General features: G+C 36.8%; 1 protein-coding gene and 1 long non-coding RNA gene across 10 annotated transcripts in view, besides 1 other annotated feature; one reads left to right on the forward strand and one right to left on the reverse strand.

Annotated features, from left to right (window-relative positions):
* LAMA4 (laminin subunit alpha 4) overlaps positions 1-27,060 on the reverse strand; it is a 147,055-nt gene that overhangs the window by 7,061 nt on the left and 112,934 nt on the right. For 8 of the 9 annotated variants that reach the window (XM_047418770.1, XM_047418769.1, XM_017010854.3 and 5 more), the window contains exons 21-36: positions 26,367-26,512; positions 25,769-25,931; positions 24,761-24,894; positions 24,129-24,300; positions 21,132-21,263; positions 19,476-19,618; positions 18,358-18,496; positions 17,762-17,899; positions 15,977-16,110; positions 14,885-15,049; positions 13,931-14,084; positions 7,023-7,210; positions 5,292-5,481; positions 4,165-4,320; positions 2,748-2,907; positions 872-1,002 (exon numbers count right to left, since the gene is read on the reverse strand). In XM_047418770.1, the coding sequence (XP_047274726.1) occupies positions 872-1,002; positions 2,748-2,907; positions 4,165-4,320; positions 5,292-5,481; positions 7,023-7,210; positions 13,931-14,084; positions 14,885-15,049; positions 15,977-16,110; positions 17,762-17,899; positions 18,358-18,496; positions 19,476-19,618; positions 21,132-21,263; positions 24,129-24,300; positions 24,761-24,894; positions 25,769-25,931; positions 26,367-26,512 (2,445 nt within the window). Of the gene's footprint in view, positions 1-871; positions 1,003-2,747; positions 2,908-4,164; positions 4,321-5,291; positions 5,482-7,022; positions 7,211-13,930; positions 14,085-14,884; positions 15,050-15,976; positions 16,111-17,761; positions 17,900-18,357; positions 18,497-19,475; positions 19,619-21,131; positions 21,264-24,128; positions 24,301-24,760; positions 24,895-25,768; positions 25,932-26,366; positions 26,513-27,060 lie in introns of those variants that run through there. The other variant, XM_047418771.1, reaches the window with a different exon arrangement.
* Positions 998-27,060, forward strand: part of LOC107986633 (uncharacterized) — a 39,745-nt gene continuing 13,682 nt past the window's right edge. Inside the window, exon 1 of the long non-coding RNA XR_001744299.2 lies at positions 998-1,436. This is a non-coding gene — a long non-coding RNA (uncharacterized LOC107986633). The remainder of the gene's footprint in view (positions 1,437-27,060) is intronic.
* Positions 25,825-27,024: an enhancer, noted in NCBI's record as "MED14-independent group 3 enhancer chr6:112462018-112463217 (GRCh37/hg19 assembly coordinates)". NCBI's record gives its function as "activates an origin of replication core promoter dependent on BRD2, BRD4, P300/CBP and CDK7 cofactors, and independent of MED14, by STARR-seq in HCT116 cells {active_cell/tissue: HCT116}" and the evidence as "EXISTENCE:reporter gene assay evidence [ECO:0000049][PMID:35650434]".

The raw sequence follows: 27,060 nt of genomic DNA on the forward strand, positions 1-27,060 counted from the left end.
TAAGAAATAGAATAAATCCCTTTAATTTCTAAAGATTGAGTGTGTTATACAAAGCAGGTTGAAGTATTGGTGAAGAACATGGACTTTGAAGCTAGACAGCCAGTCTCCTATTTAACTTACTCTCTGCCCCAGTTTTCTCGTTTGTAAATTATAAGCGATACTGTTACCTACATCATGGAGATAATTGGGAGGATTAAATGAGTTAATCTAGGTAAAGCTTAGAATAGTACCCAACAAATAGTAAACACCAAGTAGGGATACATTTTATTGTGATGGCTCAATATAATTTAATAGAATGTACTAGAACCCAAATAAAAATCTGTTATGTTAAGTTAGCAGCATCAATGAAAATATACTTTTTTCTTAATATTTATTTGAATACTTCCATGAATATTCTTTAGTAGTATCTTAGGATGAAAGTGGCATTACAACATAATTTTTTATTTCTATCAATTGAGAATAATATGTATAGTATATATACATATCTAGTACACATACATATATCTGATATACATACATATTATAGATATTTAGAAAGATGTTTTAGTGTTTGTTGATTTTGATAGTTATGTTTGCTGATTCCATTTGGTGAAAAAAAGTTCTTCTCATTCTTCTCTTAAAACTGTGTTGTTATTAGTGATTTTTTTGATAGTTTTGCCATATTTTTATGACTCTTTGTTTTAACCAAATCAACTTTCAACATAGGAAGCTGAATCCAAATATTGCCCACATTTACATTTCATGTTATAGCTTTCCTATATTTCTTTTCAGTTAGGAAAGATTGATGAAATAATTCTGTGAAATAAATCTGCTTCAGATCTAGAATCCAAGGTCAGATGAGACAAATTGTTAAACATTTTTCAGACACTACCTGTCCATTTTTCATGTGAACATTTAGGTACTCCCCATTGACACTGTGGCCGTGGACCAGGGTTCCGGAACTGCTTCTGGGACGGACTTCAAATGCAATTTCAAACTTCAATCCAATATTGAAAGATTCATCTGTGGAGAGAAACACTATAAACTCCCAAGAACAGCAAGATCATATTTGTAACTATGGTGTGATTTTGTAATTATATATATTTTTATCTGTTTTTGAAAGTTTGATGCATTTTTTAACAGATAAGTAGAAAGTGGCTTTTCCATGTCAAACTCACTGTGGAAAGCTCTGTGGGGAACCAAGATAACTAATGCATCAATCCTGTTGTGGGGTGTGAGGCTGGCAACAGCACACAAAATATGTGTTATGGGAGCTCAGGGGAGGAGAAATTAATTCCAAGTAGCAGCAGCACTACTGAGTATTTCACAAGTGAGGAGGACAGGGCAATCTGGGCAGAGGAAGTAGACTCAACACAGGTACAGAGGCTGGAATGCTTGGAGAGCACTGTGAAGGCCACTGTGGCTGGACTGTCCCTGCCAGGGGAGAAGGAGGCATGGTGAGTGGGAGCCACACTGGGAAGGGCTCTAGTGGTGAAGTATGGAAGTTAGGCTTTATTTTACAGTCACTGAGCAAGACAGCTGTCTTGATCGGACCTGTATTTTAAAATAATTATTAAACAGAAACCTAACTGGTGCCAGTGTTGTACAGCATTTCAGAGGAGAAAGAGCAGAGAAAGTATTTAGGAGCTGTTACTGAGGTGATCCAATAAAATTCTTATTAAGAATAGTTGTGTTTACTCCAAGAGACTCATTGCAAACCAGGGCATCTAAATAATGTTCATTTAATGTATCCTATAAATCATTTAAAATTTTTTCCTGTTATTAGTTAGTGCTCATGGAGTAGTATATAAATTGTGCAGTTTGCTCTGTATTCCCAGCTGTCCAAACTGTTAAGAGTTCTTATCACTGAAATTCCATGAAAGGCTGAGAATTGTAAGTGTAGGTGTTTTAGTGTAGGGGTAAAGATGGGTGAGGCAGGAAAGTAAAATCATGAGCTAAGCAGAGAGGAAATACTACCTCTGGGTGTTCTGCTGGATATGGTGGTGGTTTAAAAAGTAAACTTGGCTGCAGTGTAATTTCTTTATTCAGGGGATGTGCAAAGTACCTAAGTGCCTTGAGAGGAGGGAACATGCAGCTTTATACCCTTTCCTATCCTAATTCCGGGCACTTATTCTGGTGTCTTCCTCACACCCAGCGATTGCTCCATAGAATATTCTTGGAATGAATTAGATGATGATTGTGTGTAGTCTGCTAGGATTTTATTTATTTTTAGAACTGTTATGTCCCATCATCTGGCATAGGGACTGCCTTATGGGAGGCATACAATAAAAACTGAATGAGTGAGGGAGTAATGGTCAAGGAGAATAATAAAAAGCCAGAAATAAAAATTTCTGAAGGATAACGTTGTCTGCTGGTGTTGCAAGTCATGGGGAGAAAGTGGGACTTCCTTTAGTAGGACAATGGTTCATGCCAAGAAGGAGCAGAGCAAGACCTTGAGGAGCAAGGTGGCCAAAAACTGACATGGATCAGGCCACGGAGCAGCATAGACATTCTAAAGGAGCCCAGGTGGTCTTCATCCAGAAGTTTGGCAGCTGTGGAGAAGCCTGGTCAGGGAGAGTATACAGGGATGGGGACTGCATGTATGGTTTGGAGTGCAGGAGGGAGAAAGGTGGTTCTTGTGGGAAGAGGTCATCTTCTAGGGCTGAGTTTGGCATTCTTAAGTTTTAACTCTGGGCCTGATATTCCCTGTTAGCCATCTCCAGGAAGAAGCATTTCATGACTCATATTTTTAACATGACTAATGTTACCTAGAACCACGTATCCTCCTTCTGTTGAAAAGTAAGTTCCTGTTTCCATGGGGCCTTCAAAGCAAGGGGTCACACTGAATGTCTGAGAAGCAGAGGTGATGGAGGCCCCATTGAGCTGGAGATTGCTGAGACAGCCACTAAAACTGTAGATGGAGTTAATCTGAGGGAAGAAGATATTTCTTAAAATCAATTTTCTCAACACAAATGCACCAAGGGGAAGCAAAATGAGGGGGTTTGAGTCCTGAAGGAACCCACGTAATTCCTTGTTTCATTTATTTCAGATATCTGAATGATCAGTACTTTCCTGGATAGTTGCTTTCTAACTGGTTGTTTGAAGCTGGAATTTTGTATTTGATAATGTCAACCTGTAGTAATTAAGCTATGGACATTTTTATGTTACACTTTGACACAATAAGTTGCAGCTGTGGTTTTCAAACTGCATATTTAGAAGTATCCTAGTTTTCCCTCAAGAATGACAGCTGTGCCAAGATCACCTAAGGCTGATGAGGGCTAGCAAAGTTCTTTACTTAAATCTACCATAGCCAAATAAACAGCAGAAAGCTTTCATTTCTGGTTTCATGAGCTGTTTTTGTGGTTGAGAATTTATCATATCACAGGACATGAAACTTGGGCCACTTAAGATAACTGATTTTGTCCTGCATTTGGACATTTTAAAAAAGAGATTGCCATGGAATTGGGGCTGCTTATCTAAAATCTAATTATAATGTAAACCATCTTTTTTGCTTCATCTACATATATTAATAGGTCTTAGAAATTATTTTTAACATTGCTAAAATCCAACCTATATTTATGTTAAGAAAAATTTAGTCCTTTGATGCATTCCTTTTATTGCTAAATTTTTTATAAGTGCAATATTTTTAATTTTTAAATTACACAAATAATATTTTTCTACTATATTCTCACTTCTCCCCAGGGCAACCACATTTCCTTATACATTTACAAATTGTGTGTGTGTGTGTGTATGTGTGTGTGTGTGTGTGTGTGTGTAAGAAAAATGGGATTGTAGTTTGCATAATGACCTGAAACTTTTTTTTTCACTCAATAATGTATAATGCAATGATTTGCTTTCTTTTTTGTTATGTCTTTACATTAAAAGTATGGGTACTTCCTGAACAAATAAGATCTCCTTGAGACATAAATTTTCATGATAATTTATGCCTCTGAAACTTTTTCATTTGACATCTACCTTAGAATTGAAAGATTACTTCTGACTTTGTAATGCCACAGGGCAGACAGGCAGCCCATAAGACAGTACTTACTTTGATATCCCATTTCCAGAAAACTACAGTTTTACTGGTGCTAGTTTCTAGTTTCCTAATCTGTGAGACGAGGGCCTCAATTAGATGATCTTCTGGCTCTAATGGTCAATGGCTCTACCTGGTCATGCCTGGCTTACCTGAACATTTTTCACAGCCTTTCCAGGAGCCACACCTCCCAAATAAATGGGACCCTTGATTTTCCAGGTAGCTTCAGTAGGAGGAAGACTTTCTTCTAGGACTCGGAGACCATCAATTACCAGTCGGCCACTGCTCCTTTCTCGAATAAATATCACCTGGATGAAGAGAAGGACAATAGCACATCTCAGGTACATTCCAAGATTGCAGAAAAGGCTGTGTTTCCTCTTCTTCCAACTTTGCTATTGCAATGCTGTGGGAAATCTTCAGAAAGTTTATTTTTAAAATGGCCCCATCTCTGAAGGTCAGGAGTTTATCTCTTCTGTTTAGTAGGCTTCTGGCAATGCAGTTTTTGGAATGGCAGAAACTTTATCCCTCATTTGATTCTGTTTTGTTATACAGCATATGCCTTTATTGTGAGCTGTCTCCAGGCCCCTTTGCTTTATATGCATAGGTGTATTTTTTTCATGATCATCTTCCATTTACCACTTCAGGTATTAGAGGAAGTGATCTATGTATTTTCTGACCTCTAGATAGAATGATTTAAAGCTTAATTTCTGAATATAGCTTATGTTTTTCCATGTTCTCTATGAAGCTTTTCCCAGTTAACCAGGCCACATATAGACAGAACAGGCCATATGTTCTCTCCCAGTTAAACTTCTTGTGATTACTTGTAATGCATGTTACATTGCTTACTCTTGACATTACATACCCACCAATTTCTTTCAATATTTATCTGCTCCCACTGTGGTATCCTATCTTCCTCACTGATTTACTCTTCACTTTGTATCTTCCACAGCTTAGCCAATAAAAGACACTCAATAATAATTGCTGAAAAGTAAAAACCTATTGGCAGTAGAAAATAAGTGAGAAATCATTAAAAACCAAATTTCAGTTTATGTTGACCACTGATCCTTTGGTTTAAATAATTACGCTCAGCCTGTGTCTCTTTTTAAATAGTATGCTTCAAGACTTTTATAAGGAATACAATTTTTTGAAATTGAATTCTGAGTGTGCAGCAGCAGAATTTTAAAATGGATATTTCTAGAGAGAGTAATGGAGGCCCATTAGTGTCCATTTGACAATGGTAGCTATTTGCTGGTAATGCTGTTCTCTGCCTTCAACTTACATCATGCCACAGGCCATCATTGTATTTCTCCTGGCTTCTAATCTTCAGTTTTTTGTGACCAACATTAAACATGTAAACCAAGCGGCCATGGGCCAAAAATAGAGTCATGAAGTCATTCTCTTCTTGATCTGAGACATAGAAGATCATGCCATGGGAGGAACGAGTTCTCAGACGAATGGAAAACTGAGATCTGGTAAATGAAAAGAAAGGGATTACCATATGTAAAATGAGACTGAGGATAATCTCTAACTTCTTAAAATAATACAGTGTAAGGAAGAATAAACAAGTAGCCATTCTATCTAATCCCAAGCAACATTATTCCACACTTAGTATTATTAATGAATATTAAATTAGCATGGCTAGTTCAAAAATGTAAATTCTTCTCTACTTCCTTATACAACAAGGATGTATCCCACATTTGAGGAAATGTTGTTTCAGTTAAGGATCTTACTGTGTCTTGGTTTGAAAATATGGCTGCAGGCTGGGTGCCATGGCTCAGGCCTATAATCCCAGCAATTTGGGAGGATCACTTGAGCCTGGGAGTTCAAGACCAGCAAGGCAGGAGGATCACTTGAGCCTGGGAGTTCAAGACCAGCTTGGGCAACATAGTGGAACCCCGTCTCTACAAAAAATTTTTAAAAATTAGCCAGGGATGGTGGTGCGCACCTGTAGTCCCAGCTACTTGGGAGGCTAAGGTGGGAAGATCACTTGAGCCTGGGAGGTTGAGGCCACAGTGAGCCATGATCATGCCACTGCCCTCCAGCCTGGGTGACAGAGCAAGCAAGACCTTGTCTCAAAAAAAAAAAGGCTGCAATTTAGTAAAAATATGTATGTTAAAGAAGCTTATCCATGTGGACAAAATACTAGTGAATAATACAAATAATATCAGTTGTGCACTATCTAAAACACAGACTAAAATTTTTTCCCAGTAAAAATTAATTAATGGATACCACATGTAAAAAGCAGCCACCCGAGCGTGTAGAAATTAAACAAAACCTTCTAGAAATTTAGCCCCAGGCTATGGATAAGATACATTTATTAGGTTAACTTCTAGTTTGATTAACTCTAAATTCTTCCTGGAAAATACAAAATACTGATTCTGCCTATTAGGCAGGTAGCAAATTATAAGGTATTAGAGATTTCTTATTGAATACTTTGCCTCTATGAATGTTTGACAGAGCTATGTAAGACCTATATAAAAATATTTGGGTGCTAAAACTGTAAAAATAATTCTTCAGTAATATCAGATAACCTGGAGATTTGTGAAATACTGGAAAGAGGCGATGGGGTTGGAGATAGCTGGAGGGTCATAGACATACAAGCATATTTGTATTTTCAATGCCTTTCCTTATTAACCTTTTAGCAGTTCAAATGCACTCCCATTTACAATCTGAAAGCAATTTGTATGGGAGAGGGAGGGGGATATCAATGTTAGATGATGAGTCATTTGAAACTTGCTCCATCTTCCTTTCCTTGATTGTCTTTTCTTTTTGATCAAATACAGTATCCTGGAAGAATACTGTTTTATGAACCTTACAATTGGAAAGTCACAGAGAATATAATTCTTTTGATAGCATAAATCATGTACTATTTAGTGTTTATTTTGGTGATAACATAATAGGATTAAGGTGGCACAGAAAGGAAAGATGGGAAAAAACGATGACATGTGACAAACAAAGATGGAGCCCAGCCATGTCATTAGGAGTCTAGGAGTATAGTGTGTTACTTTACTTGGCACCAAAATCTCCTTTTAAGTGTTCAAACTCTTGGCGGCTGTTGGCTGTTCCTCCATATTGATAGGCGTGCTCTATTGCTCTAGGGCTGTTGGAAAGGTGGCAATGAGAGTTTCTTGGAGTATTCCGCTCTGGGAGTTTCAGAGCAACAGGATCCCATGAAGGTGCATCTTTACTTTTCCCTCCCTATAAAAGTAAACCAAATTAAGGGATAAAAGTGACATACTAGCAGCAAAAAGTAATTTGTGATGTCCTCATCATTAATAAGGATAAAAAATTATATATTATTTGTGCATTTTCCATTCATGGAACATTAGGTCCCCTCTCTTTCCTACCTCTAGCCCCATGAGCAAATGACAGCAGTAGCTGCAGCAGTAACATCAACAACATAGCATGTTAACTAACCCCAAATTCTTCCGCATGGTAGTAAAGCAAAGTTAAACTGAAGCTATAGAGACAACTGCTCTATCATTTAAATTAAGTGCACATCTTAAATACTAGTGAAAAGTGGCAAAGTTGGCAATTAAAATGACCCTGAATCAATCAACAAAATCCTCATATAAGAAACAATATTAATGTTACTTTAATACACAGATTATTACTTATGCATGTTGTGTAAAAAGTTAACATAGCAACATCTTCAAAATACTTAAGGATATTTTTGGTGATAGGATATGTAGCAGAATTTTATGTGACAGGATATAAAACAATTTTTAAACACATTGTGCTCTTAAAATTGCATGGCCGATGCTAAAATTTAGAGTTGTGCAAGTATAGGCTAATATTTAATTATTATTTAGTTTCAATTTCTGAAGCAAAATAAAAGTAAATGCAAATAAATTCAAGTATTTAGTCATTTATTCAAGCAAATGTTTAGTGACTATTGAATGGGTAGAAGTAAAGGGGAAGGAAATCCATGATTATACATGCCTCCCGTGGGTGGCATGTAGTGGGGAATAGAAAGTGAATGAGAAATGATTCCTGTTTTTTAAGGAACTGAAAATTAATTTGGAGAAACAGTTATAATAGCAAATTGGAAAACAGGTTGGTGCCAGATAGGACCTTAGATGATTGCTGGAAGTTTTGTTTTTTAGGTGATGAGGAGCCACACATCCTCATCCTGCTTTCAAAGCAGGGAGGGAGTGGCCTGCTCTGACCCACCTAGGAAGACAGCTTGTAACAAGGAAGGCCTGATAGAAGAGGAAATGTGTGGCAGCAGGGAGGACAGAGGCAGGATTAGATACAAAAATTCAGGATTACTGAATGCACACTCACAGGCAACAGACAAGATGAGAGAGAGGATTAGATAAGAAAAGTTCTGGTTGAGGATTACTGAATGAGCATACACCTTTAGTCCCTGCCTCCCTATTCCCATTGAAATGTCAGAACTATATACATAAAAATAAATCCACAGCAGTCCTGGAAATCTAGGAGGGTTTTTACTGGCAGAACCAAGCTGTGTGGAATTTCTGGAAGATATAAAGTAGATTGGAACAGATGGACAATAAAACCCTTAATCTCATAAGGGCAAAAGACAAAATCCCCCCCACAAAAAAATAGTGTTTTAGCTAAATCTCAGAATTACTTTCAAAATCTAGATCTGATTTTGGGCAGAGGGCAGGTTAATTAATTAAAGGACAGACGAGCTGTGCCAGTGTCTCTTGCTCTCAGGGCAGCAGCTCGTGCAGTTGGATTTTGGCAGTGGAGACTCTCACAGTGGTGGTTAGGTTGGAGAGAGGTGGGAGCTCATAGACTCTCATGTCCTAAAGGAAAGCCCACCTGGTTCCACCATTCCCTCTTCCCTTCTTTATGCAGTTGTCAGGACTCATAACCTGATTTTTACTGCCACAGAAACAAGGTTTCTCTCTTGGATGGGGGAAATATACCCAGCTACCAATACTTTTTGGTCCAGGCTCTCACCTACAGATAATGGCCATAGCTTCAAGCCGTAGGTGGGCAGAATGGGCTGGAGTAGGGCTGCCAGGAGATTCTTTAACTCTAATGTCTTAGGAAAATTTCCCCAAATACATGCTCTATTTCAATCCCAGTGGAGTAATACACTTTATGATAGGAGATATGATCACTTTTGTCTCAGTGAAAGGCCCAGCTGGAAATACTTTGCACAGGGCCTGTAGTGAGGGTGAGAGAACAGAGTGAGAGTGAGGGTAGAGGACTTTCCCCAACTCTGGCTGCTTCCTGTTTTCTCCATTTGGATGGAAAGGATCTCACGCTTTCTTAGTCAGTGTATCCACTTAGCTCTAGGTGCTCAGTGAAGCACAGGGTTATTTGAAACAGAACAATCTCAATTTACCAGCCTTGCCTTACTCTGCTTCAGTGTGGGAATACATGACTATGTAGGCTGCATCACTCATCTGCTGCAAAAATCAATAAACTCGGGTGTCTTTATATATGGCAACCAAATATGCTAATTCTTCTGCAGATACACATTCACACTCTTAGTAATGATAAAATAGCCAAGTTATAACTTAATTACTTTATACCATACAACACTGAGACTCAGTTTATTATCCTAAGATGGGTATGTGTATGGTGATTCTCAATGAACTCCACTAGACTTTGGCTTTATCAGTGTAATTTTTTGTTTTCTCTGTGGGCCTATTAGTTGCAATCCTACTGATAGTACTAGTTCAATTTAGCAAGATTCTTTTGTGTCAGATAACAGCCAAGCTAGTTGAGCTACTGAAGAAAAAGACAGCAATGTGTTATAAGGATATAGGGGTATCTTTTTTTTTTTTTTTTGAGACAGTTTTGCTCTTGTTGCCCAGGCTGGAGTGCAGTGGCGCGATGTCAGCTCACTGCAAACTCTGCCTTCCAGGTTCAAGCGATTCTCCTGCCTCAGCCTCCCGAGTAGCTGGGATTACAGGCATGCGCCACCATGCCCAGCCAATTTTTGTATTTTTAGTAGAGACGGGGTTTCACCATGTTGGCCAGGCTGGTCTCGATCTCCTGACCTCTTTTTCCACCTGCCTTGGCCTCCCAAAGTGCTGGGATTACAGGCGTGAGCCACCGCACCTGGCCATCTTAAACAATCTAAGATAGGATAGTATTGTGGTGTCCCAGCAGGGGCTAGAATCAATTGGAAAGCTAGAAGGAATCAAGGCACTCCCTTTCTGGAGGTTTCTGATTTCTCAGAGCATCTCTTTTCATTTTTCTTTCTCAGCAGGATAGCTTTTTGCCTTTCACTCTATGAAGGAGCTTTTTTTCCTCTGTGTATAATTAACATAATGCCCTTAGGTTTACATGTTTTCTGTTCAATGGCCAGCTCAGGCTAATCTCTCTAGGTTTTAAGTTTCCAAGGAAGAGAATCTGATAGCCGAGCTTCGTGCACGTGATCTACCTTGGTCCAGTGATCTATATCCAGGGAAGTGAGGTCGTGCATCTAAAACACAGGGCCTGCCCACTAGCTCGGAAATCAGTTCTTAGAGAAGAGAGTGGTTTGCCAGATACCTTAGCATGATGTCTGTTACAATACCTGAAATGTTCATTATTAAACACCAAATGAGAAACTTTTCCCAGTTAAACTTGAAACATAAACATTGTTAAAAAAATTTAAGGCTGGAACATAGGTGATAAGACAGGTATTCACAAATACCATAGGGAACTAGAAATCAATGTTACCTTTTTGGAAAGCAATTTGCCTTGATTCAGTAATTCTGCCCCTGGGAATCTATCTTAAAGATTTGTTCAGCAACATACTCAAAGATTTACCTACAAAGATCTTTGGCTATAAAAGGAGAAAACTAGAAGCAACTGAAAGTCTATTAATGGTTAAGTGAATATAGTAAGTGAATAAAATGGGATATTAGGAAGTGATTGTGAAAATAAATTATTACAATCCCAATTGCTTTGATGCAGCCTTGATGAAAATTTAGGTCAGAGGCCATACATTTTTCTTGGTAGCTATTTATGAAGCTGTTGAAACAAGGGTCAATATAAGAAAAGATTAGCAAATGTTGACATTCTAGTTACCATAAAATATAATTGAAATCTATGGTGATTCTGTATCTTGTTATTACAAAGTCAAGTTTCTGTCTAACACTATTTACCATAAAGGTTAACAAGTTTCCTATAATATGGAAAAGCTTGTGTTAGTAGGGCTGTTGATTATAACCTTGAGATTGAATGTTTGTTGGGAAATCACATTTGATAGACAACTTAATTTAGAAAACTGTGTTTATTTAAAGGGGTAACTGTGTTTGCTTGAGAAGGTTGATGTCCCTCATCAGCCTGTAATGTTAATCTGCTGCCTATGAACCTCTGACCAGTGTTCAAGTGTCAGATAAAAAAATTTTCAGGATAAATCTTTTAGCATCAATGTATGAGGGTAACAGCAAGACTCTATTAGAATTTTATAGTATACTCTGAAAACTCCTTCATAGTATCTTCCAGCAAAATCCTTCATGAGAATCAATGAAATTATCTGTCTTCCATGTCAAACTCAGGAAGAGATCCTAAGAAACTACTAAGTTTTAATTATACACACACAAAATTATTTTGTTAACATTGATAAAGCAGTCATGTATGAACAAAGGAGAAGTTTCAAGAGGATTGAAAAAAGTAGTCCACATATGCTCAAATATATGGAAAATGTCAAGATATAATGGTCAGTGAAAAACCATCAGAATGGAGAAGGTGGTGGAGACACTTCCCTCTTGCTGATGGTCCAGAAGCCAGCCTTGGAAGGCAATCAGTTCTTCCCCTGAAAAGATGTTCAACCTCACTAGCATTCAAAGAAATGCAAACTAAAACCTCAATTTGTCCATCAGAATTGCAAAATTATAGAAATTTGATTATATTCATTGTTGACAATAGTGTGGGACAATATGTTCTTTCAAATGCTGTTTGTGGGAGTGTAAATTGGTATTGCCTCAATATTGAAAATGCATATTCCCTTGAGCCAAGCAATTTTACTTTTAGGAACCAATCCTCCAGAATACTCATAAGGCTCTATAGAGATATAACCACTAATATTCACTGAATCTTAACTATATGCCTTGTGCTATGCTAAGTGCATATAATTTCATGCATTAACTCATTTAGTTTTTGTTACAACCCTATGATGCAGATAGCTGTGTATGTATTGAACACCTATTATATGCATTGTTCTGAGTGCTTATTATATGTCAGGGAACAAAATGAATGAGCTTGCATTTAGTAGAGGAGACAGACAATAAATAATAAACATAATAAAGAAAGCATGCTAATAAATTACAATATAAGGACTATGAAAAAAGAATAGAAAGAGGCAAAAGAGCAGTATTACTGGTAGGAGGTAGGAGGCAGGCTGCAGTATTCAATAGGGTGTCAATGTAGGTCATTGAACAGGTGAGAGTTGAACAATTGTAGAAGGAGGAGAAGTTGTCTGTGCAGATACTTGGGAGAAGTGTGATCCAAGCAGAAGGGAAGCCTGAATAAAGAACCTAAGGTAGGAGTACACATGGCCCATTCTAGGAATAGTTGGGAGGCCAGTATGGGGAGAAGAGTGAGGGAGGTGGGCAAGTAGGAGGAGATGAACTCAGGGTAAGGCATGGATCACATAGGGCCTCTTACAAATTGTGGTGCCTTGGGCTTTTACTCGGAGTGTAGTCGGGGGGCCATTTGAGCACAGTAGTGACATGATATGATTTATGTTTATAAGGATCTGACTGTAGGGTTGAGAATAGGCTATCAGGGAACAAGGTGGAAGCAAGGAGACCTGCTGGGAGGTGATGCAGTTACTCAGATGAGAGTTGTTGGTGGCAAGGGCCAGGCTGGGAACACTGACACCTGAGCACACTCTTAAAATTGGATCATGAAAGAGGTGGGGAGGGTTAAACTGATAGAATTAGAAGGGATTAAGGGTCCCACTTGTAATGAAGGCAAATAATGTACACAGTTGAAGTAAATGAATGAGAAAGAATAGTAGTCAGGTTGGAATTTTAGAACTCAAGATTTTGATAATGGAGTAGCTTTAGCTGATGTCACAGACCAACTGTGCATGTGAGTGGTTGAAGTGAAGGTCCAGGAAGGAGGGGAAAAACCAGGGTAAGATCAGAAACTTGAATAATTTCCATGATTGTGACAAAAGCCTAAAATTGTTACACAAAAGCAAATGATACTAGAGAATTATAGTACTAAATAATATGTATTATTTATACAAACTGTTAAGCACAGGGACATTTCAACCATTGTAAAGGAAACCATTGTAAGTTGGAAGTATGAATAAATAGCTGATTCAGACTGTTCATTGGAACAAGAACTGATGCAACAAACGCGGATGAGCCTGGAGGACATTATGTTAAGTGAAATAAGGCAGGCACAGAAAGACAAATACTGCATGTTATCATAAGTGGGAGCTAAAAATGTTGAGTTCACAGGAGACTAGAACTGTGGTTATCAGAGGCTGGGACGGGCAGCGGCGGGAGGAGGATAGGCTGAGGTTGGTTAATGTGTACCAAATTACAGCTAGATAGGAGGAAATTGTTCTGTGTCTCTATAGTATGGTAGAGTGACTATAGTTAACAATAACTTATTGTATATTTCCAAATAGCTAGAAGAGATGATTTTGAATGTTCCCAACACAAAGAAATAATAAATGTTTGAGATAATAGACATGCTATCACTCTGATTTGATTTTTGCACATTGTATACATGTATTGAAAGATCACTCTGTACCCCATACATTTGTGCAATTACTACATTTCAATAAAAAATAAAAAATGCTTCTATAACAAAGAATTAATGCAACAAATCTGGTAAACTAGAATATGTGATACTGCAAGAATCCCATCTTTCCTATGTACGTAGTTGCAAAGTATCAAGTCAATTCTCTAAAACAGCAGTGTCTAGAACTGTGTGCATGGAAAATGATGACAATTAGGAAGTCAGAACGGCATTATCTTTTACCTTTTTATTCTGACTTGCTTTAGGCTTGGATAAATTTTTTCCTTTTTTATGGAGGAGAAACAATGGTGAAGACTCAATGGGACACTCATAAAGAGAAGTGTGGACCTTTTCAGTATACCGTTGGAAATCTTCAACCTCCACATCTCTATCCACCCTGTGTTTGTAACAGAGGAAAAAATAAATATTAAAAATATTGTTCAGAATTACATGATGAATATTATGGAAGTGAAAGAGCTTTGGCAATTAAAATGTGTGTGTGTGTGTGCATGTGTGTGTGTGTGTATGTGTGATGGGTCCTTACCCATCAACCACTCTTAACCAGAACCCTTTAAATTAACATTCAACCTGTTAATAACTATGTGCCTGGCATCACATATTTATAATAATGAATATCTTTTCCCTCAACACACTCTGGATGATTGGAACTGCCTCTGTTTCTTAATCTATATTAAATTCCTCCCTTGCTTGTTCTTGTACTCAAGGAACCCCTATTGTCTTTGTTAAGGACCTAGATTAATAGCTTTCTTTAAAATCATGCATTAAATTAAGAGTTTTGTAAACCTCTGGGTATGTTACTCTGTCATTAATGATAAGTACAAAAATAATTGCATCTAATATTTATAGCTTGCTGTATGCCAGACACTGTACAAGTTGCTTTATGTGCATTATCTTCTCATTTACCCTTCATGACAAACCTACCAAGTAGGCACCATTATTATCTGCATTTTCAGGTGAAGAAATGAAGGCTTACTTAGTCAAGGTCATATGGAAATTAAAGGGCAAAGAACCTACACAGAAACCCAAGTATGACAGTTTCTCAAGCACATAAAAGCTTTTAATTACTATCCCCTAATGCCTCAGATACATTTCATAGTTCTCAGTTTTAATATTTTTGCTGTTGTCTTGATTTTATTTATCAATCATGCAGATTCATTAATAATAAAAATATTATACCTGGTAAAGTAGGCATTACTTATGCAGCCAGTGAAATTAGCATACTGAGCACTGATTGGTGAGCCACCGAAGTAAAACTTCTTTTCACTTGCTTGTGTCTGTTCTATTTTCCCTTTGGTAGGATTCTTACTCCCAACTCTGCTTTTATCTACTATCAGTTCATATCTGCAAAAGAAAAAGGCTTCTTTACATACCACAGAGCTAGCATTTTACCTTGACCCACTCTAGGTTGGATAAGCAGGTTTTCTCATGAAATTGAAATGGAACATGTGGTTAATGAAAAGACAGCGAGTTGCCAAACTCTTCATGAGGCCCAGGATAAAATGGTTGGATATTTCTATATGCAAAAAAGATCCTCCAAACCAAGATTGGAATTTAAACCCGTAAGGCAAGAAATTCAGATGACTAGTCATCAGCATTATTTTTGTGTGTGTGTGTGTGTGTGTGTGTGTGTGTGTGTGTATAAAACAGAGCATACCTTATGATGATCACTTAATCACATTTGTGGAAGACCATTTTCATGGCAAAGCACATTAGATTATTTTGATCCTTACTGGAAGTGGGGCCCAGAAAAAGCCTACTCATGTTTTCTATGTCCACAAAAGTGGACATAGGATAGCAGCAGAGGTTCATTTCTTATTCCAGAAAATTTCTTATTATGAAAAATAAATTCAGTATTATCTATTTTAAAGATGAAGTTCGAGCTTTTAAAATGCCATAAATGTTGCATTCTCAACTGTTTGACTCAAGGTCTAAACAAGACCAATATTTGCTGAGCTCCTTCTATGTGCAAAATACTGCACTCTGTTCAGTAGGTAATATTAGTAGGCATTTCCCTCAAGGAGATTATAACCTATTGTTTTACTGGAAAAAGAACCCTTATATTTAGTTTAAGAAATTTCATAGTGATTTATTTTACATGTCTTGGAAACTAATAGCAATATTTTTTTGAGGAAGATAAGTTGTTCCTTCTAGCATTTTTGTTTTAACATTAGAAAAGTTATAGGACAGCCTATTATTCATAGTGGTTTTTGACATAATCATGTCCCACAAATAGACATGGTGGAAAGAATATGAAGTGAGGAGCTATACCTTGTGGGTGAGACAGAGCTAATGACGAAGTGGGACAGCCCATCATTGTACTGCTTATCTACTGACTGAACTTTGATTCCCTTTACATCCATGATGACAGTACCATTATCCAGTGAGATGGAGAACACGTCTGACTGAAATGCAAGCACAGGCATGTAAGTAGGGAGTCTAGGGATCCAAAAGACGGAAATGTTTTCAACATTTACTGAATGGTATTGCTTAAAGGCAATATAGTGTGTAGGAAATTTGCTTGTAAAATAATTTCTATAAATAACAACCAAGAATACCTTATTGCTTGTACTGGTATTGCTTATAAAATTAGACACATTTCAGTAGAAAAATGTATCTCCTATATTTCCAACTGAAAATTTTTGATGACTTTGTTATGCTGGGAGTTGTCAACCCAGTCTCAGTTACTTTCCTACTTTCAATCTCACTTTTAATCCCTTCGAATAGATGATATTTGGGTCTCCTTGGGGATGTAGCTAGATGACTAGGCAAGGGTTAATTTACTAGTTTGGCTTTTTAAAATCTTTCACTTTTTCATCTAGAGGCAGAAGAGACATTTTTAAAAGCAAGTTAGCTCTTCTTATCTGAATTTGCTTATTGCTTGTCTTAAAATATTTGGCAAGGGTTAATCTTGCTTCTCTTTCCTTATATGGGCACCAACTTCTTAAGTCTGCCCTCAAAATAGACTACTTTTTATGGGCAAAAAGTGTTATTTAACTAACCAGGGTAGTCTGAGGCAGGTTTGGGTCAGAAGTTCTACAAAATGCTTTGGGTAAATTCTCACAAATTCTACTGATTCCAATTAAATTGGATATAAATGTGTCAGATGCAGGTAATATATATGAAAAGTGAAAGCTGCTTTCAGAAGTTATGTGATGACCTGGCACATCAGTGTATATATTGATGATGACCTTTTCAGAGACCCATCAGTTGGATCTTACAGTCACCAATCCTCTACAGACCTTAGTTTATTCTTGAAATAACGTATCTTTATAAGCTGAGCTCAAATGCTCTGTAGCAAATCTAAGAGAAGTATGTATGTTCTTTTTACTCTTTTATAAATTAAATCACAAATGTGTTTGTTCATTGCATACAAACAGGGACTCTTGAGAATTTTTGTGCCAGAAACACCTTTGGCATTTTGGTAACAGATAGCGACCGCTTCACAAAATAATGTTTTTAAATGTATAAAACAAAACATATAATAATACAAAGGAAACCAATCATACTGAAATACAGTTTTCAAAATATTAAAATAATCTGTGATATTATTATAACTTTTTTATTAAGGCATTAAAGAATAAGATTCCATAGCAGACCTAATAACATTAGAAGTAGCAATGAGCAAAAATGACATTCTGAGATTTCTGTGACAATTGTAATGTGAAACAAAAAAATCTGTGATTTCTATTAATGACAAAGTCACAGGTACTGGTAATACTACTGTGGTGTGTTGCCTAGAGTCATAATCAAAGAAAATGATCAATTTCAGTGAGAGAAAATAAAGATGTAATCTTTTCGCATTAAGTCCACAGACCCCCCTGAATTCTATCCATGAACCCTTGGGGGTGGGTCTATGAATTCCAGGTTAGGAACTTCTGATATACAATACATAGAATATTTTATAAAGTGTTTGAAATGAGGCATTCTGTGTGTCTACGTGTGAGTCAAAATTAATCTGAATAGAAAATCACTTCTAACATGCATTACAAATTATTTTTAATAGGCAAAACAATTATCACAAAGAAGTTTCCTCAGAGAAAAACAAACACTTACCCCTGAAGCATAATAGAATAGTAACCCATTTGGTTGTAATGTTCGGAAATTAAAACCTCCTTCAAAGCCATCAAAGAAAGATATTTTCTGAATTGAAGCAATGAAGCTCTGTCCATTGAAATATGCTCTGCGAGATATCTGTGTGCCAGAACAAGTGGAGATAGTGTTTTTGAGAATTATCAAATGCTTAAAACTATCAATGTTTCACATACGGAAGGCCTTGCCTGTTAATTTCTACGTAAATAGTTTATTTTCCCACTTCTGGTCTATGTTGGAATTCAGGCATACACTAGGAGCTCCTCTGAGAGATGGGGTTTCATCTTCTCCACTGACTCCAACCTGAGTGAACAATGATGCTAGCACACCCTCTCTGGGTGTTAGATGCCCCACCCATGGAAAACTGAAGCAAACGAACAAGTCACAGAGGAACCCCATGCACAAGAGCCCTTCTAGCTTAATGGTTCTTCTTTCTGGTGGTGGCAGAAAGGAACCCAAGGTGTACCTAGGATCAGAGAGAAGCTGAAAAGAACTTTTCCAGCTTTTGAGAGTGATAAGTATTGTGTCTATTAAAAAGCTTTTGACTGAGTGGTTCTTACAAGTGAGTCTTCTGGGCATCCATAACCAACTCCCAGGGTTTCTGTCTGCTCCAGTAAATTGAAGTCCTTCTTTTGGAACTGGAAGCCCTTCATGCATCCTCTGAAGTTGATATCTAGGGGAAGGTGTGCTCTGAGGGCCCTGGAAAAGAAAGTCAGCCTCACTGATACAGCCATGATGATGATGTTACCCTGCATATGTAGGCTATGGAATTTGCATTTATTTATAGTCATTTGTAATGGCTTTATAATCATTCATATTCTCATGCTTTCTTTGATAGGCACACAGCAATGTCTAATCTTTGCCTATAGAAGAGTTTTGTTCTACGTCAAGCCAATTTCTTCCTTACAGTTTTCAAAATGCTCTAACTTACATTATCTCATTTTATCTTTATAACAATTCAGTGAAATAGATGGAGATGCTATGATTTCCCTTTAGCAGACGATTATTAGGTTGAATCATAGGAACTAACATGTTACACAGAAATATAATCAATTCTTAGTAATTTCACAGGGTTTAACGTAATGAAACTAAGAAATGAAACTAAGAAATAAATTATTCTCTTATGTCACAAGTGATGTTAGGATTTGAACACAGGTCTTCAGACTTTTATTAATCCACGTCATTAATGAATCCATTTTGGCATTATTTCCAACACATCTGTAATCAACAAAGTTTAGGGGAGTGTCTTAATGTTTCATTATACATAATACACAACCCTTTGGATAACCTTAAAAATTTGTGTAGCTCAGATGCTATTGGAGAGTTCAAAATGGGTTTAAGGCTAAAGCAAAAGTAAATGGACAAATGCTGTTTTGTCTTCACACAATACACATGTTCCACCGTTCCTATTATTGATGAGAAATACTGCATTAGATCATGTTCTAAGAGTAATACAATAATTGAAGAAATCTGTGATTACATCTATGCGATGCTAATTTCAGGAGGTCCTGAGGACTGACTGCAGAGGGCCTGAAGGTACATGAATGTGTGTACCTGTGCCTGTCCCTGTGTGTAAAAGTAGCAAGTAAGGGTGCGTACACTGTTACTAGACCTCTCCTGGATGTTGCCAGCCCAGTACATTGCTAGGAACAAACAGCTACTTAACAAAAAGCCTTACCTGGATTGTAAGATTTCTGGAGGAGCTCCTCCAATGTATATATCTGTAAAAGGTATTTTCATCTTTTCATTATCCATGCTCTTGACATGCCTTCTGTCAACTACCAAGATCATTTTCTTATCATTGTGGTAAATGATTGAGATCTGGGAGAGATAATATATAGTAAGCCTTGATTAACTATTTAATATTCAGTTCTTTGATGACTTCTATATATTTTAATTCTCCTGGTATACTAGCTGTTCTTCCATGCCTTTGTGCTTGTTTGTTCACAAAATGGGGAATAGATAGATTTTCTTTTCTCACAGACTTGAAAACTCTTGCTTCTACAAGCAGCAGTTCACACTTTCTGGGAAAGGAGGTCTGTATGAAGAGGAGCCAGCCCAAGAAAAATTTTGCGATTAGACCTATTGTTTCCTCCTGCTCCTTCTGAGAGGATTCAGGAAAGAACTATAAACAGGTGCCACCATTCTCTTTTTTTTTAAAAAAACAACTTTATTCAAGTCTAGTTGACATACAAAGAACTACACATATTTTATGTATACAATTTGATGAGCTTGGACATATGCAAACACTCATATCATCTTACAATCAAGGTAAGAGACATATCACACATTTCCCAGCATTTCCTTGTGTCCCTTTGTGGTGTGTGTGTGTGTGTGAGCATGTGTGTTACGCACACTTAACATGAGATCTATCCTAAATAAATTTTAAATTAGTTTTAACTATAGGCTCCATGCTGTACAGCAGATTTCGAGAACTTACTCACCTAGCACAACTGAAACTGTATACACATTGAACAGCAATTTCTTATTTCCCTATCCCCTAACCCCTGGTGACCCCTATTGTATTCCCAAGCAGGTGCCTTCTGGAATCTAGATTGCATGTTACCAGGTGTAATTTTTTTGGTGACACAGTGAGCAGTTCTAATGAATCTGCAAAAATGCTAGTCAGAGAAATAGTTAAAATATTCTTTTATTGTAAACCATTCTCATGAGGCTATGGACTTTGAACTGAAAAGGGAAATACAGTCTCCTACCCTTCGCATTTTGGTTCAACTTAAAAGATATTATGCCTTGTATACACTTTATTAAGTTGTATATTTAAAATAGTTAATGAAAATGGATGAAGTATATTTTCAGTAGTCTGCACATCTGTTTCAAAACTAAAGGGGATTCTTTGTGAGTTCTCTTTATAAGGAAAACTGTGCTAGTATTTTCTAAATTCTGGATAAGTGGTTTAAAAGGAAATTCTGTATTTACTTATATGTATTCTTGTTAAATTTGGTGGGGCTCAAAGGATAAGCAAAAAAAGGCTGTGTATCTACACTCTGGCTCATTCAACAAATGTATAGAAGTATCCTGTAGGAATACCAATTGAGATATTTAAGATTAATAGAAGCCTTCTGGTTAATTAAGCAATTAAAAGGAATCTTTCAGTGACTTTTAAATTGGAACATCAACAGGAAAAATACATCCAATGTTTTAAAGTAAATGTTTTCCTAGGGTTGAGAAGATGAGGGTCCTTCAGTTGCTCTTTAGATATGAAAGTTCTCAGTTTATTTACCATCCTGCCTGTCTCATTTGACTGCCTGATTAGATCAACAGATCTAAGTATAAAGAACAAAAACAAAACCAACCAAACTACAATGATTTGTACCTCATGGTATTTTGCATCATTAATTTGAGCTTTCTTTAACGTATCTTCAAGATGCACAGGGCCACCGCTGAATCCAAAATCATAGAACACATGTAGGTAACCATTGCGCATTTCCAGTCTGAAAAACATACTCTGAGGAGAGAAAGGAATTGTAAGATAGGAACATCTGTTATGCGAGTAGAGTCAGATTTAGCTGAATTTGAGAAATAAGACTGTATTCTTTATTACTGGAACTATTTGAAGACTAAGAAAGTCTCATGAAATTCTTATGAAATAAAAGTGACAGTGTCTGGGAGTGGTGGCTCACACCTGTAATCCCAGCACTCTGGGAGGCCGAGGCAGGTGGATCACTTGAGGCCAGGAGTTTGAGACCAGCCTGGCCAACATGGCAAAACCTTATCTCTACTAAAAATACAAAAACTAGCCAGGCGTGGTGGTAGGCACCTGTAATCCCAGCTACTCAGGGGGCTGAGGCAAGAGAATCGCTTGAACCCGGGAGGTGGAAGTTACAGTGAGCCGAGATCGTGACACTGCACTCCAGCCTGGGCTACAGAACGAGACTCTGTCTCAAAAAAAAAAAAAAAAAGTGACAACTACTTCCATATCAGCAGCTATTTCTCTTATTAATACATAAAAGTTAATATTTATACACAGTGTAAAAATTCTTCTGTTTTCATTCTACTTTCTGAACTAATGGATGAAGTTTTAAGTCTACATTATTGCCTTTTAAGAAAATCTTGAAAATAGAGTATAGTATACCATGTTTATTCAACTGCCTTGTCTTTAGGAAACTTTTAAAAATTATAACAGGCCAACAGATGTGTCTGCATTTATTTTAGGTGAAAATTAGTAAAATTAAAAAATAATTTCAAGGTATACTGAAAAGAATTCTTCCATATTATCAGCAAATATGGATTTAAAAAAAGAAGGCCATTGCTGTATTGTTTTGAAACACTGGATTTATGTAAATAAATATAGAATTATTATGCACTTGGAACACATGATGTTTAAGAATCAAAGAAATTTTGTAACACTCAAATAATTTACTGGAGTTTTGCTTGTTTCAGAAGATAGTTCATAGATACAAGAAGTCAATGGATTTGAAAAATAAAGCATTGTGGCAAGGTCCCTATTCTATAGGAAGTGATCTCCTGAGTGGAGTTTGTACATTCCTGGGAGTGTGGAAAGCAGCCTACTGGAGTTTAGGAAGAAAATATTTCAACTTCTATTTATACTAATTTAAAAAAACCTGAAATAGAGAAGAAAATATTTCAACATCCATTTATACTCACTAAAAAATCTAAAATAGAGAAAGAAACTAACTTTTAATATTTAACACATGAATTATTGACTCTGGGCCTTCATTTTATCCTTTTGTCAGACTTTCACAAAATTCACATAATATGTGTGGCTTCCCAAGAGGGGTTCCACACTTGAAGAGTTGAAGGTAGCTCCTCATCCATTTCTTTGCTTCTAGCCTATTGCAATTTATTGCAGTTTACGTGTGGCTAGTTATATGGATTTAAGGCTGATATAACCGAAATAATAGAATATTTACACTCATTTTGTATTGAGATGTAGAGTGATGTGAAAACATTTTGAGACACACAGATATTTGCTGGCTACTTCCTACAAATTTCTGAAAATGCTGTTAAGTTTATAGAGGGTTACACATTTTTCTTTGTAACATGAATTATTCTAAATTTGTTGAACTTTATTCGTGATGACAAATGTCTGACAGTAGTATGAATCCTACTAGTTATTTCAAAAAAGAAACATACTGTCACATCAATGTAAGGGTATTATCATAATAATGGATGAGAAAGTAACTTTTTCTCCTTTTTTTTGAGGACGGTTATACTGTGGAGAGATGGTTTTTAAAAAATATGTTTGGGAATTTTTCTATTGTTGCTTTTGTTGATGGGAACAATGTAAATGCAATCCTACAAAAACTCTCCTATCAGCTCTATTAAAACATTTGAGGGAAGAAATTTCTAACCTTTAGAAAAATATTTCAAATAAAGATTTTCAATAGCTTTGAACCCTTTTATTAAAGTTTACAAAATGATACCTGGTTAGCTTACAAGAACTAATATTAGAAAAAAGGAAATACACCAATCAAATCTCAAAGACAACCTTTGCCACTTGGTGAATGTGATTGAAAACTATTTGAGTTAGTAGGCACAGCTAATGATATGGTTCTTTCATTTTTTATTTTTGTGAGGTGTCTTGTCTAGTTACAACCACCAATAAAATTACTGTTGAAATAAACTGGACTTAGGACAAGACTTTTGAATCACTGTGTCACAAAGAGTTTAAGGATTTTTGAAAATATTTAGCATACTTAATTACATTTTCTCACTAAAACTATTTTCTTTGAGCTGTACAGTAGATAAAGTACTATTAAAAATAATTTTAGTGAGAAAAACATTTCTGTATCATTAATAAATAAGTCAATTTAATCTTCATTTTAAATATATAATCTTTTATTTTATCTTTATATAATTTGTCCTTTATTACAAGCTTTGACTGTTTCATACTATATTTATATCTGTTTATAGTACACATGTATCATTTATAAACAAAGATATATATGTGTGTGTGTGTACATACATATATACTTACATACACACATACATATATACAAAGCATGCAAGCTTTGCTTTAAAATTGATTAGGGCATATGGTTTGGAAAAGTTAGGAGCCCAGTGCAAAATTTCTGCAGACACCCTGCTCATCTAGATCTTGGTTCTAATTTCCTCAAAGTTCTCTTAGTTTATTTATATCCAAAAATGTACTGTGGGGAAATGCATCTCAGGGTTGCTTTTATTTATTGCTGTCATTACTTTCCTGAAGAAGAAAATCCAATTTGACTTTCTAAACTAGAATTTCAGTTTGATGGCATGACACACTAGACCTGGGAAGGTTCCTGGAAACATGAGTAGCAGAAAGTAAAGGAAATAAAGGAGAAGTAGTAGGACTTGTATTTTTACTCACTCCATTGACCATCAGGAGAATAAGGCCGTTGTCAGCTGGTGTTCGAACTTCTATGTCAAAGCGAGTCACCTGACCAAATTTCCCTCTCCTTGTGATGTCTCTCACCACGGCATAACCGGAGCCATCGAAGAAGTAACTGGCAGCCCGACTCTGAGTGAAGGCCAGCTTATCTCTGAAATGGAAACACAACGGTCATTTGAACACTACAGTTTCTGTTATGCTTTTCAAGTGAAGCCCTTTTAACCCATTCTTCTAACATCTTCTGTGGACCTTACAACATTTAAATGAAGTCCTGTTGTCTGCAAGGAAGAGATAAAGAGGTATTTGTAGGTATGTTAAATGGATTGTTTTCTTCTGTATCCTGTGTGCTAAGACAACTGAAGTCTCCAGGGACACCCTAGTCTCTGGAATCCTTAATCAAGGCTGCAAACAAGTTGTTTAACACTTCATACTTGGGCATGCTCATCTATGATAGAGAACAGGTGAAGAGTTTTTTGCAGGTATGACTTATGTAGTTTCAAAACTGGCTTCCCCAAAGAAAAGTTTGAGAACCTGAATATTGACTCATACTTGTTCTATCTGCTGCTCTTGCATGAATATCCAAGTCTTTAGTACTCTTAACTGTCTCTTACCGGGCACATGGCACTGATGTGGAGGGGTCCATATTATAGATGTGCTTAAAGTTGTACAAGCTGATCACATCATTATTCAAAGTGGCCAGTTCCAGGCAGCCAACAAAGCCAGGCAGGTTTAAGCTGGTAGGGAGCTATGCAATAGAAAAAGTAAAACCACTTGTCTCATGGTCATATTTTACTCAGACATCACAGAACAGACAATGCAACTAATAGTAGGTCAAGGAGACCTACCCCTTTGTGGAAATATCTTTCTAGACCCGAGTGTGTTTATGCCAAATCATTTAGATATGGCGTAACTTGTCAGTTGTGCAAATCTTAGCAGAGAAAGTGGGATTTACTGAGCATAGATTATGTGCTGGTCATAGGCTGTACAGTGAATTCATGACAAAAATCAGTCCTTGCGCCAGCTTTGTTAGGTAGGTATTCTTGTTCTCATATAATGAGAGGGAAAATAATTCTCAGATAAATTCCAATTATGTGCCCATAACTAGTAATAATAGTCCTGAAATTGGAACCCTAGATCAACTTCCCATCTTCTTCGACCTTTCCTTTATCCCCCTTCATCAGATTTCATACTCTCTCCGAAGTCTCACCCCCTCTCTCATCCCAGATACTTTATTTCATACCTGTATTAGGTGAGATAACTGAATTTTTGAAACCACCACTGCAAAGCTGAAGATTAGATCTAAACTGTGGTGACACCACAAGCTACGGACCTTCCTGTGGCAGGTGGGGGTAATATTAATTACATATGCATGTATCAGAATGAATGAACTGATCTTCAGGAGTTAGCTATAACTTGAAAGCATTTGACATTATGAAAATATGAGTAGCATAGACCAGATTTACACATCAGGTTTATAGATTCTGGTTCAGAATTCTACTCCCCCATGAACTAAGCTCTTAAAGTGATATCAGCAACCCCCAAGTCATTATAGGTTTATGGATTTATAAAAACAATTACTGTAGATTTGTAATAGGTCAAAATATAGCTGTATGGCTGACCTTGAAGTTGGAAGGCACTCCACCAACATAAAACACTGTGTCCTCAGGGTCCAGGTCCAGCAGAGAGTCATCTCCCGAAAATTCCCCCTTTTTAATGAACTTTTCCTCTGCTGTGCTACTTAGACTCGGGACTGTTAAAAACACCTTTCCATGTTTTCCCACCCTATTGAGATAAATAATTTTCACTTGTTATTATATAATTCATAGAAAATACTTTTTAAATGTCAAAATGTTAATGCTCCCTCATCACAAAATGGGTAATTTTGTGACACTAATAAGCATTTACAAAATACCACAATCAATGAGAAAGAGAAGAAAGACATTCCATTTTGAAGTTAATTCATGGATTGACCAGGTAAAATCTAATAATCAGATCGTGATTTAGAAATGACTTTTTTTTTTCTTTCCTACTAAGGTGTTTGGGAAAGAATATAAGAATAATGGAAGAAAACGGAGCAAGAATAAAGGGAGGAAAATGCTATTTATAACATCCACAGGAAGACTGTGTATGTGTGTGTGTGTGTGCACGCACATGTGCACGTTCAACAGGTTTCTTGTGATATGTGCATATATGCCCTGTGTCATGGATTCACTGTACCTTTCAATCTTGACAATGCTGAAGTAAGCAGGCCAGGAACTGACGGGCTTGGAGTCCAGGGGAATCTCCACATCTTTAGTTCCCAAATTATAGACGTATACCAGATTATCATTTTTGATTGCAAGACCCATATACTCTTTTTTGGCCTGAAATATCAAGAAGTAAGAAGTCATTTAAATAAAATTCATAAGAATGAACATCATCTTTTTTAAAGGACAATCAGAAATCCAAATATTTGGGTATATACAAGTGACTTCTGGCCTGAATTATTATCCGAAGCTCCTGTGAGCAGGCAGTGTCTCTTCCTTTCCAGCCTCCCTGTGGCCACATCAGAGTCTGCTGGCCCCATCTTGCTCAGGCTCGTGGAAATTTGTTGGCTGCCAGGAATGGGCTAATTTTGTGAGGCTAACCCAGGAATATAATACAGCCTGACAGTACCGATCACTATGCATCTCTAAACAGGATTCAGCATCAAACAGAATAGGCTTCTGTCTTTCTGAAAGTCTTTGAGGTGTTTCATTCAGACTCATCAAAGTTAGTAGTGTGATGGTGATAGGAAACAATCCCCACAATATCCCACACAGAGAAGAAATGACTTGTCCTTTAGTCATTCTTTTAATTTTGCCATTAAAATGAGATCTTCTGAGTTACCAGAATGGGCATTGTTTTGGTTTGTTTGCCTAGGTGGCTTTAT

The sequence above is a fragment of the Homo sapiens genome, chromosome 6 (genome assembly GCF_000001405.40).
Source record: "Homo sapiens chromosome 6, GRCh38.p14 Primary Assembly".
NCBI classification, from domain to species: domain Eukaryota; kingdom Metazoa; phylum Chordata; class Mammalia; order Primates; family Hominidae; genus Homo; species Homo sapiens.